Source organism: Homo sapiens, chromosome 1 (assembly GCF_000001405.40).
Source record: "Homo sapiens chromosome 1, GRCh38.p14 Primary Assembly".
NCBI classification, from domain to species: Eukaryota; Metazoa; Chordata; class Mammalia; order Primates; family Hominidae; genus Homo; species Homo sapiens.
This window is the reverse complement of record NC_000001.11, coordinates 198,725,477-198,738,379: the sequence shown is the minus strand read 5'-3', so window position 1 is coordinate 198,738,379 and position 12,903 is coordinate 198,725,477. Positions and strand designations below refer to the sequence as shown.

The 12,903-nt window shown below is 33.9% G+C and overlaps 1 protein-coding gene across 11 annotated transcripts in view; it reads right to left on the bottom strand.

The window, feature by feature from the left end:
• The window catches only part of PTPRC (protein tyrosine phosphatase receptor type C), a 118,764-nt gene that overhangs the window by 19,097 nt on the left and 86,764 nt on the right, over positions 1 to 12,903 (bottom strand). For 9 of the 11 annotated variants that reach the window (XM_047426381.1, XM_047426398.1, XM_047426409.1 and 6 more), the window contains 8 exons: positions 9,932 to 10,040; positions 9,209 to 9,243; positions 6,654 to 6,763; positions 5,990 to 6,080; positions 5,824 to 5,900; positions 4,148 to 4,184; positions 3,955 to 4,052; positions 3,128 to 3,253 (listed from right to left, as the gene is read on the bottom strand). In XM_047426381.1, the coding sequence (XP_047282337.1) occupies positions 3,128 to 3,253; positions 3,955 to 4,052; positions 4,148 to 4,184; positions 5,824 to 5,900; positions 5,990 to 6,080; positions 6,654 to 6,763; positions 9,209 to 9,243; positions 9,932 to 10,040 (683 nt within the window). Of the gene's footprint in view, positions 1 to 3,127; positions 3,254 to 3,954; positions 4,053 to 4,147; positions 4,185 to 5,823; positions 5,901 to 5,989; positions 6,081 to 6,653; positions 6,764 to 6,917; positions 7,102 to 8,614; positions 8,690 to 9,208; positions 9,244 to 9,931; positions 10,041 to 12,903 lie in introns of those variants that run through there. The other 2 variants (XM_047426420.1, XM_047426417.1) reach the window with 2 other exon arrangements.

Genomic DNA, 12,903 nt, shown 5'->3' with positions numbered 1-12,903 from the left:
GCCATAAAATTCAACATCTCTTCATAATAAGAAACCTCAAAAAACAGGGTAACGAAGGAATATACCTCAACAGAATGAAAGTCATATATGACACACCCACAGCTAGCATCATATTAAATGAGAAAAAACTGAAAGCCTTTCTTCTAAGATCTGGATAAAGACAAGGATGCCCACTTTCACCACTGTTGTTCAACTGGAAGTCCCAGCTAGAGCCATCAGACAAGAGAAAGAAACACAAGGCATCCAAATTGGAAAGGAAGAAGTCCAATTATACTTGTTTGCACATTCCATTATCTTATATTTGGAAAAACCTAAATACTCCACCAAAAAACTATTAGAACTGATTAACAAATTCAGTAAGGTCATGAGATATAAAATCAACATTAAAACAAGCAGTGTTTTTATATGCTAACATTGAACAATCTGAAAAAGAAATCAAGAAAGTAATCTCGTTTGCAATAGATAAAAACAACATAAATACCTAGGAATAAACTTAACCAAAGAAGTGAAAGATCTCTACAATGAAAACTATGAAACATTGATGCAAGAAATTGAAGAGGACATAAAAAATGGAAAGCTATTCCATGTTCATGAATTGAAAGACTCAGTATTATTAAAATGTCCATACTACTCAAAACTATCTACAGATTCAATGCAATATCTATCAAAATACCAATAATGTTCTTTACAAATAGAAAAAATAATCCTAATATTTATATGAAACCACAAAAGACCCAGAATAGCCAAAGCCATCCTGAGTGAAAAGAACAAAACTAGAGGAATCACAATACCTAATTTGAAATTATACTTCAGAGCTATAGTAACCAGAACAGCATGGTACTGGCATAAAAACATACATAGAGCAATGAAACAACTCTACAGTGGACTCATTTTTGATACAGGTACCCAGAATATGCATTGGGGAAAGGACAGTCTCCACAATAGATTGTACTGTGAAAACTGGATATTCATATGTGGAAGAATGAAACTAAAGCCCTATCTCTTGCTGTATACAAACATTAAATAAAAAAAATGGATTAGACTTAGATCTAAGACCTTAATCTATGAAACTACTAAAAGAAAATGTTGGGGAAACTCTCCAGGGCATTGGTTTGTGCAAAGTTTTATTCAACAATACCCCACAAGCACAGGCAACCATAGCAAAAATGAACAAGTAGAATTACATCAAGTTAGAAAGCTTCTGTATAGCAAAGAAAACAATCAACAAAGTGAAGAGACAAGCCACAGAATGAGGGAAAATATTTGCCAACTATCCATCTGACAAAGCATTAATATCCAGAATACATAAGAAGCTTACAGAACTTTATAATGAAAAATCTAATAATCTGATTTTTAAATAGGCAAAAGATCTGAATAGACATTTCTCAAAAGAAGACATACAAATGGTAAACAGATAAATAAAAAGGTGGTCAACATTATTTACTATCAGAGAAATGCAAATCAAAACTACATTAAGTTATCACTATGCTCCAGTTATAACAACTTATATATAAAAGATAGCCAAGAATGAATGCTTGCAAGGATGTGAAGGAAAGAAAACCCTCAGACAATGTTGGTGAGAAAGTAAATTAGTACAACAACTATGTAGAACTGTTTGGAGGTTTCTCAAAAAAACTAAAAATAGCACTACCATATGATCCAGCAATCCCACTGCTAGGTATATACCGCAAAGAAAGGAAACAGTAGATTGAAGAGATAATCTGCACTCCCACGTTTATTGGAGCACTATTCATAGTAGTCAACTTTTGGAAACAACCTAAGCATCAGTTGACTGATGAATGGATAAACAAAATGTAGTACATATATACAATGAAGTATTATTCAGCCATAAAAAGGGGTAAGATCTAGTCATTTGCAACAACATGGATGGACCTGGAGGACTTACGTTAAGTGAAATAAGCCAGACACAGAAATACAAACTTCATATGTTGTTACTTATTTGTGGGAGCCAAAATTTAAAATAACTGAACTCTTGGATATACAGAGTAGAATGATGGTTACCAAAGGATTGGAAGGGTATGGCAGGGGTGGAAATGGTGATGGTTAATGTGTACAAAAATATAATTAGATAAAATGAATAAGACCTTGTATTTGATAGCACAACAGGGTGACTATTCAACAATAATTTATTATACATTTCAAAATAACCAAAAGAGTATAACTGGGTTGTTTGTAACACAAAGAAAAGATAAATGCTTGGGATGATGGATGCCCCATTTACCCTGATGTGATTGTTATGCATTGTATGCCTCAATCAAAACATCTCATTTACCCCATGAATATACACACCTACCATGTACCCCAAAAAATTAAAAATAAAATTCATTTGTTGGAAATAAGAGATACACATTTTACATACCATAAAGTTCACCAGTTTAAAATGTACAATTTGGTATTCATATTACATTCACTAAATAGTACAACCATCACCAATATCTAATTATAGAACATTTTCACCATCACAAAATGAAAGCCTGTTCTTATTTGCAGCCACTCCCCATTTCTGTTTGACCTCCTCAGCTCCAGGCAACCACTGATCTACTTTCTGTCTTTATTGACTTGCCTATTGTGGATTTTTCATATAATGGAATTATATAACATGCATGACGATCTCTATTTTAACTATTATCTAAGGCCACAATGACCTCCTTATTTTCTGAACTAAACATTCTATCTCTGCTGCATAGTTAGAACTTTATACTTCTTACAGTGTTCTCTAATGCTGTCATTTCTCTTATGGAAATAATATAATTTTTTTTCATAAAAGTAGGAACTCACTGACAATGAAGACAAATTGCTTATTCTTTTAATAATTTGATTATATTTTCAACACATTTAATGGACCTTCCCTCTTTTTTTAATAATTAAAACAGATAATTAATTAATACAGTATAATTCTTTCGATTTGAGTTGGACAAAAACGTCTTGACCAGTGACTTAAATTTGACCCTATTGATTTTTGTCATTGTTCTAACCACAGCTTTCATCCTAAAGGTTATCAAAAATAATTTTTCCTGATATATTTTATTTTCTCACTTTTAATATTCCATAATTATATTTTTATAAAAAAGTATCAAAACAAAAATTATGTAAAAAGCAAACTCACATTTACAATGTTCAATTTCTGAATGATGTAATCTGGACATCTTTTGTGCTGGTTGATCTTTACAACAACATCTCCAAAAGCCCGAGTGCCCTCTTCCATTGACGGCCAGTATTCTGCACACTTGTTCTACATTTTAAAAAATTATTAAGTATTTTAATTTTTAATTTAAGCCAATTTTTTATCAAACTTTCTTTAAACAGTGAAAACAAAACCTATACTCATTTGAAATTCTCAAAACAGTTGTATAGTTTAAGCACATATAAACCTTAAGCTGTGATGCTTGAAATATATTCTATTTCCCACTAATGTGTCCTGAAGAATTTCCTTCATACTTTTTAGCAGGATGATCTTTCCAGGCTTAGATGCATGTTAAGAGAGGACATAATCAGTTGTCAGCAAAAAGGATATGATTGCTTGTGGTTAATTTTAGGTAGGGGGACAGAGAGGCTTTTATTCCTAAAGTCACATTACATGACTCACCACCTATCTGCCCAAGGTCAGTTTTGTTTCGAGTATTAAGGTCTTGTGAAGTTAAAACAGTGAAATATACTGAACTTATAACAATACTGCAAAGAAACAGGAATCAAGTTAAGAGTCTAGCAATTAATCAGAAGCATTGAAATTTTATGCATATAGACATATATTTGTATGTTAAAAGTTTTAGTTTTCTACATGTATGAAAATTTTAAATTAAATGTTAACACTGATTAAAATAGAGAACTCTCTGTTTTAGTCATCAGGCAGATACATGTGGCTTTTCAAAATGCCATTCAACACCTTGTTTTCCTAACCCCAAGACCCACACTATGAATCTTCTTGGTTCTTACCCTGTTTCCTTCTTCACATCGAGTGACCATGACAATAACTGTGGCTTTCTGTTCCCAAATCATCCTCCAGAAATCATCAACAGTTTCATCCCTGGGACCTAGGAGGTAAACAAATAAAAGCTGATAAGAAAAATTTTCTTAAAAGTGCTATAAAAATTTTTCAAAAAGAATATTGGATTATCAAAGAAATTACCTTGTGCAGCAATGTATTTCCTGGGTTCTTTGAAACCCTATTGAAAACACATGCAGAGATATGTCATTTGCTGAACATTCAATTACTCATTAACAGGAAAAATTGTGAGTTAGAGGAATTGCTTCAGATCCATCATTTTGTGATTGTGAATTTCTCTGGGCAGTTTCAAAGTATTAAGGGAATCTTATTAATTGGTGGTCAGGCATTTAATTGTGCTAAACATGTTAGCATTTGCAAAGAATATTCATGACTTTCATGTATCTTTGCTGTAAACTTCAAACAATTTTAATACTAGGTTTCATCTTCATCTGCGATGCTGTGGTAATTTACAAGAGTGCTCTAGACATTTCAACATTTTATATCCTGCCAACTCTTATAGGATCATCTACCACTATTTAAACAAGCTCACCAGCCATGTAGTTACTTTTGGGATTTTTACTCAATTTCTTTAAACAAATCATTCTTAGATTTTACCCGCATTTTCACCTCTTAACTTCTGCTGGAATATGATTCCCTAGACTTCTTTGCCATTTCAGATAAGAGATATAATAACTTTCATTTCATTACCTACTATGTCTGCTTTCTCTGCTCCTGTTACCAAGATAAAGGAGTACAGAGGCAGATAAAATATTATACTGGCTTCTTCCAGAATTATCTCAGACTCCTAAATTCACCTCAGTAACTAAAGGAGCTCTTCAGAGAGGGATGACCTTTGCCATTGGATTAAATTTGAAACATGGGTCACAAGAATTCAACATTAATTTAAGTAACTTCCTGAAACTTCTATCTCATGACACATTATTGCGCATACATTCATTTATTTAATAAGTATTTATTGAATAGCTACAATATGTCAATCACCTATCTAAAAGCAGAAGACACATGCTTTCAGGGAGCTCTAAGTTCCATTGGGGAAACATAAGTAACCTGATACCATAATTACCATATATATTTGAATAGAAAATATAGTTATTTCTGGTAGGTGAGGACACTGGGAAAATGGCAGATTTGGGGAGACAAAAAGAATTTTTTCAGTCTGTATATATTTTTATACTGTTTAAAATTATTTAACCTATGTAATACATTAATTAACATTTGTATAATAAATTAAATTTTAAAATATTTTAAATAAATTAACCACGTACGGACATTTACATTTCTGCATAAATCCAATGGATAGATGATCATGTTGATGAGGAATGTCTGCTGAAATTTAGTGTGATGAAATTAAAGCATAACATTTTGGAGTCAGTCAGACTCTGGTTGAATTTCAACTCAAATATTTACCAATTGTGTGAACAACAACAAGGTAATTAACTAAACTGAGCCTCCCAGTCCTCACCTATACGGCACATGGCTGAGGCAAATGTGGACTTCTTGTGAGAAATATATGCATAGAATATTTAGTCTAATATCTAGCACATAATAGACACCAGAGTATATTAAATTAATTCTTAATATAATTTTGTTTGTAGAGGAAAATTCTATGTTATACCTAATACCAATAGTCACATAATAAATAACTATCCTTGCTAATATTGATAATTTTTTGTTTATATCAGTGACATATGGGCTCACTTCAAAATATTTTTAATAATATTTCTAAAATTTTACCAAGACAAACAAGGAGCTGAATGAAATATGTAGGTATAAGAAAAATGCAAATTTTTACTCACATCAATATAGCTGGCATTTATGTAGTTTGACCCTGCATCTCCGTTTATCTCAGAGAGTTCAACACGGTTATAATCATCTGTTTAAGGAAAAGAAAAATAAACAAGTGAAATAGTGAATAATCAAGTAGCCTAATATATGGGAATTCAGCACTCAATAAATACTCACAAGGAAGAATGTCAACATAACGGTTTTTATTCTGGTTAAAGGGCTTTCGAGCTTCCTTTATAGGAAACTTGCTGAACACCCGCGGGATGCTCTGAAAGAAACAACGATTTCTTGGATCACAGCAGATTCAGGAAAAATAATTTCCCCCTTACCAATGACCGTTTTGAGTAAATGAGATATCCTGTAAAATATTTTCTTCATATTGATAAAAAAATTTGCTTAGAGTAATCAAAATTAAGATCAGGAATTATGTTAAAAAAAAAACTTTTTTCTTACAAATTAATGATTGACAACTTTCAGAACAAATCTCTTGAGTGGGGACAAATTTAGGATTAGTTGTTGTGTCACTATCAAATTCATTTAAAAACAGATACTTGGATGAGTATCTAGAGTACAACTACAAAATCAGCCAAATACATTTTGTGACACAACTTCATAATACAATAAAGCACTACATTAAAATATTTACTAGCTCTACACTATAATCCCGTCAACCTCTATGAGTCTCTCTTCTGGTTCATAGAGATCTGCTAATAATATCTACTTTGCTTATGTTGCAATATCAAGTGGGATAAATTATAAAGGCAAATGGCAATATAAATACACTTAAAGTGGAACTGTCTTGATGTCGAATTTATCATCATATAACAAAAGCAACACACACCTGAAATTCAGCCAGAAAAAGTCTTCCTTCATCAGCAATCTTCCTCTTATAAGTTTCCAACAAAATATCTGCATGGATTGGCTCCACATTCATCAGTTGTTTTTCATCATCTGGAAACATATTAAAGATTCAATACTAGTTACATGTGTCTTTCAGGTGGGCATACACATTTCATTAAATTTACACCGTGTACTCAATCCTTTAGCTTCTTTCCTCCTCGTACACATTTCATCTGAGAAATCTCACTCACATACAAACATTTACCTATAAATCAATGACTTTTCAATCTTGTACTTCAGATCTCTTCTGGGCTTTATATTGTTCTCTCTACTAGAATGTTCTTCCCCATTTTCTATGCTTAAGAGAAGGGATCCCAGACCAAACATCACCATTATAAGGACATTCACGTTTGACTATATGCATTTTATAGCAATTACTATAATTATTTATTTATAATACAATATTATTTTTCTTTGTATTTTCATTTTCAACTTGTGAAATACTGTAAACATGCAAATGAAATAAGACAATATGATTAATACCCTTATACCCATGACTCAGCTTAATTTGATCATCTGTTTACACTAAATGGTGAAACAAGTTGTATTAATTTGTTATGCTTCAAGTATATGAAACACATTATATACCATGTTTGTGAAATAACTTACTGAAGATTAAAAAGTATACTAACCATAAAAAGCTACAATTGCATATGGAACTTGAAAACCAACAGCTTTAGAAAGGTAAGAGAATTTAAGCTGTCGCATATGTAAAATTATGTTTCTCCTACTCTTCCATGTACTACTGATAGTGTTTCTTTCAGTAATCATATTAATTTTACCAGTTTATCAGATAAAGAAAGAAGTTATCCATGAGGGTGACCCATTTATCTTATTGCCCATGGAAACTTTCTATACAATCACAGCTCTCAAACTGGCTATGTGCAATTGTTTCTTTAGGTTGTTGGGAATGCCTGGTATTCATTCATTCTGAACTGAGGGCCACATTCAGGGTTTCATGGGGTCTGAGTGAGTAAATTCTACTGCGTTCCAAGGTGCAATCGGTACCAATTTTGAGATAAAATATTTCATTGACACTTTCCAAGTCCACCTTAACTCCTTGAGATGGATTTTCCTGTTCTGCTCAGGTGTTTATTACTGATTGTACTCTTCATTCCTCCCTCAGCCTATCAAAATGAATCCTCACGATACCCTATGTCAGTGTTATTTATTCACTAATATTTATCAAATCCTAGGTACTCACTTTGGTACTGGGCATAAAGCAGTGAATAAGAAAAAAGCCTCCACGCTTTCACAAAGCTTACATTCTAGTTAGGAGAGGATAGTCAATGACCAAATGAATAAATATGTAATAAGGGATCAGATAGTGTTACATTCTGCAAAGAAAAATAAAGCCTTTTAAGGAGCTCCAAAGATTCAGCCCTAAAGTTTCTGCATAGAGACCTGGTACCTGCTATTACCAGAGGGAAACACTTCCAACACAGATTAACACAGACAAAGGAGTTCTGAAATTATTCCTGTCTTAAGCATGAGAAAGCAAGTACATTTCTTTATTGTAAACAAAGGTTCAATTTCTGAAACTTTGTCCCCTTTTACTGGATCAGAAATCACATTTTTAAAAAATTAAAGAATATAAATGTTGAAAAAAAAGATAAACAAATGTGTTTTCTTCTCCCAAGTCAAATTGCTGTTCTTTGTCCAATCCATAAATGTGTCTTTAGTGGGAGCAGCCACCATTCCACCCTGGCAGGGACTTGAGGAGACATCCCATCTCCCCATCTCTGTGACTTCCATCCACTCGTCCCTCCACCACTCCCTCATTTGTCCATTGGTTCCCCACAATCTTAACAGACCAGATTTCTGCCCTTGCACACAGTTTTCTATCTTCCATATATCTATAGAACTATACACATTCAACTACTAGGGCATGTATCAAATTACCGTCATATTTGTTGAGATATCTGCTTTCCTCTATTAGATTCTAAACCCTTTAAGGGCAGAGTCTGTGCCTGTCACTGTAGTACTCTCAGTACCTGGCACAATGCTTGGCGTACACTGGGAACTTCACAGGTGCTGAGTGAGTAAAGGAATTTAAGTTTTATCACTGTATCAACAAAAGTCCAAGTTAAACTAAAAATGCCCAATTCTTATTTAAAATGAATGGGGACGGGCGCAATGGTTCATGCCTATAATCCCAGCACTTTGGGAGGCCAAGGTGGGTGGATTACTTGAGACCAGCAGTTCAAGACCAGCTTGGGCAGCATGGTGATATCCCATCTCTACTAAAAATACAAAAATTAGCTGGGCCTGGTGATGTGTGTCTGTAATCCCAGATACTTGGGAAGCTGAGGCACATGAGAATTGCTTCAACAGGGAGGCGGAGGCTGCAATAAGCAGAGATTGCACCACCACACTTCAGCCTGGGAGACAGAATGAGACTCTGTCTTAAAATAAATATAAATAAATAAATAAATAAAATGAATGGATTCAAATGCAGGGGAAGGAATAGTCATCAGCAAAAATATACATACTTACCCCTTTCAACAAGCTCCTGCTGTTCATCTAAATTGCTGTGAAAATAGGAAAAATAAGTTTCTATATTCTCAAGAAGCACAAAATTCAATTGGTATTTTACTTATATTTAATGAATATATTGAAGGAACAAAGGAAGGAAGTCAGGGATAAGAAAAGGGGAAGAGAGGAGAGGAGAAGAGGAAAGGAGGGAAGGGAGGAAGAGCCTTGAGCAGAGGGAGGACAGAAGGATGGGAGAAAGCAGAGTCAGAGAGGAGAGAGGAGGGTGAGGGAGGAAAGAAAACAACCAAGAATTGTCTGCTAAACTCACATAAGTAGCTAAATGATTTTATTTTAAATCTTCTGTTTTTCATAAGATGTGGTTGTTTCTGACCAAAGAAACACATTAACTTCCCCAGACATCTCCCTCCTTTCTTTTTCTTTTGACACTCCTAGATCCCTCTGACCCACTTTGTACTAAAAACCACACACATTCTTTTCACTGGTTATTATTAAACAAGTCCACAACATTATTAGTAAATTTAGAAAATAATATTAATGTTTAATTCAAACCAATAAAACCATACTAAAAGTTTTTGATTAAAAGTTGTGTCATGAAGTGGGCTGTATGCTGTCTTCTCTCTAGTTCACATATTTCATTTAACTGGTTCCATCACTGCCATATGGATATGCGTTTGCACCATTACTAATACCATTATTATTTAAAAATTTAAAATCAACTCTTACCAGGATCTTTTCTTATGTAGATCATAGATTTTGTAGAGAACAACAAGCAGGGCTATTGATGTCACAATAATCAGAAATGCCAGAAATGCTATCAGTGCCTTAGAATTATCTAGAAATGAAAAATAATACATTCAGAGAACGATTGTCAAATAACTTGCTAGACTGGTTGAATAATCACCTCCAAAGTATTTATATTTTAATATTTTTAAATTTATTGTGAGGTTTTAAAAAATAAACATTTTAGAATAAGGTCAAATACAATAAATTTCTAATTCTGTGATTTTGGCTATATTGTTCTGAACCAATGAAAACATTTTATATTTAAGGAGAGTAAGAATAGAAGAATAATTATCTTTCTTTTGATTAAATAATGTTCTTTCATAAGACACATTTAAATTTAATTCTCTTTTTTTATCAGACACTTCATTTTGAAGGGATCAAGGAGGTAATCCAGTTATTATAAATTTTGGAGACAAACTCATATAGTTTAACTTTATATGCAGAAGTGGGTAGCCTCTTAAGGGGATGAGAAAGACTTCTACTTCACAAAGATAAACCCTCTTACCTGTTCACTGAGGTGTAAAATCCATTCACTAAGAGACAAAAATGGTTTCATTCTATAGTTAGGATAAGACTTACCCTGACTTAAATATTCACTAAGTTTAATGTGAAATCCTGCCCTTTCCTAGGGAAAGGGCATAGAAGAGAGGGTGTGTTGGAAATATCTCCAGTATATTCACCTTTTCTTATGTAGTGAAAATGCAGCAAAATAATGCGGTGACTTAAGAGCCTCAGCTCCAGAGCCCGACTGCTTAGCTTCCAATCCTAGCTCTACCACTTCTTAGTTGGGAACTTGGCCAGATTCCTTATTATCTTTGTCCCTCCTTTCCCAAAATCCTAAAATGTGGCTAAAGGTGTTGATTCACAGTAAACACGTAGCACGGTGGCTGGGAAGTAGTAAGTACTAATTATTCACTATTCACAAAAAAAATATTTTTGGCTTTTGGTCATCTGCCAAACTCAGCTCTAGGTACTTAGGATATCTACATAAAGAAAAACAAGGGTCCTGTCCTCATGGAACTTACTCTCTAGTGAAGAAAAATAGATAATTAATAATGAACAGAAGAAATAAGTAAATGGTCATGTAGGTGAGAAGATATAAGGGCTGTGAAGATAAAAAGGAAGACAGTCCGTGGAAATGCTATAGAATATAAGGCAGAGATAATATTAGTTTTCAGGAAATTTGCATTCTCTTTGGGGGAAACAGACACTAGAAAGGTAACTGAACAGACAGGCGCAGTGGCTTACCCCTGTAACCCCAGCACTTTGGGAGGCCGAGGCGTGTGGATCACTTGAGGCCAGGAGTTTGAGAGCAGCCTGGCCAACATGGTGAAACCTCATCTCTACTAAATATACAAAAAATTAGCCAGGCATGGTGTGTGTCTGTAATGCCAACTACTTGGGAGGCTAAGGGATGAGAATCACTTGAACCGAGGAGGCAGAGGTTGCAGTGAGCCAAGATTGCACCACTGTACTCCAACCTGGACGACAGAGCAAGACTCTGTCAAGAAAAAAAAAAAAAGGAAAGAAAAGAAAAGAAAAAAGAAAGGTAAGTGAACAAATGAAATAATTATGCATTTTTTCATATACTCTGAAAAAAATAAGTAGGGTGATAAGGAAGTAGAGGGGATGTATTTTCTGTATGGCAAGTGGAGGCCTTGAGCATGAGACAGTTTTTCTACAACTGGAAAGAAGGAAATGACTCTATCAAGCAAACAGCTGCCAGAAACAGTTCATCTCATGATCAAAATTTCTGTAACTGGAAACTCATACAAACAGGAATATTGAAAGTAATTTCAGATACAGACTGTAAGACCTGAGCTTGAATTCAGGCTCTGTCATTTCTTTGACTCATAGGGCAAATAGATTAAATTATCCAAACTTGAGTTTCCTCATATATAAAATAGAAATAATTTTATCTCCTTTAAAGGGGTATTTATACTGCCGGCATATATAAAAATGGATGGGATACATGAATGTGAATATATAGGTGGATTGCAGTGAACATTTTTAGGGAAGAAGTTCTTATTGCAATAGGCTCCTAAAATGACCCAAAGTGTTCCTTGTCTTATCTCTATCTGAAATTCCTTTCACTGAAATTGTCAATCCATACCAGTGATTACTAGTATACATATATCAATCAGCATGATTGTTTCCAGATTTTGTGAATAAAAACCTCATCAGAGGCAACATCTAACTTCTAGAATACTCTGAAGTAAGATTTTGCAAGAAACTGCAAATGACTGTAAGTTAGCATTCCAATCCATAATAATTAGATTAAGTTCTACAAAAATATTAAGCAGCATCAGACTTTTCTCAACAAACTTAATAAAATAGCCAAGTCTTCAGATAAAGCTTGCATTCTAAGCACACATGTGTTTCCCCCTTCTTTCCAGGAACCCTGCTAATATTAAAAAACTGAAAATGCCATAGATTTATAATGACAGTGAAAATGAGAGAAGGGAAATTAGAAGTAGAGCAATTTCAACAAGTTGTAGAAGGTAGAAAACAAAAGAAAGGAGGCCACAGCCTAAATCAAAGGAATAGATTCCATTTACTCAGAATGCCTGAGTCTCAGGTTTGAAAGTGACATATGCAGTAAATGTGAATCATGGGTCAGAACATGGAAGTCAAATGTCTATTTACAAAAACAATAACAACAACAACAACAATAACAAAAAATATCTTCTTGAAAAAATACTACCAGGGAGGAGAAGACAAAAGGAAAATTAAATGAAAGCAGTGAGAGACTGAGAATAAAGTCAGGCTCAGTACAGGGAAGGGATGAGGCACAGGACTAAAATTAGGAGGACAATGTAATTGTCCACATATGCAATAGTTGGACACCTATCTTCCTGTCCTACTGTGAGAAGAACCACTTTTTCACACTTTACCACACAACAAGGAGTAGG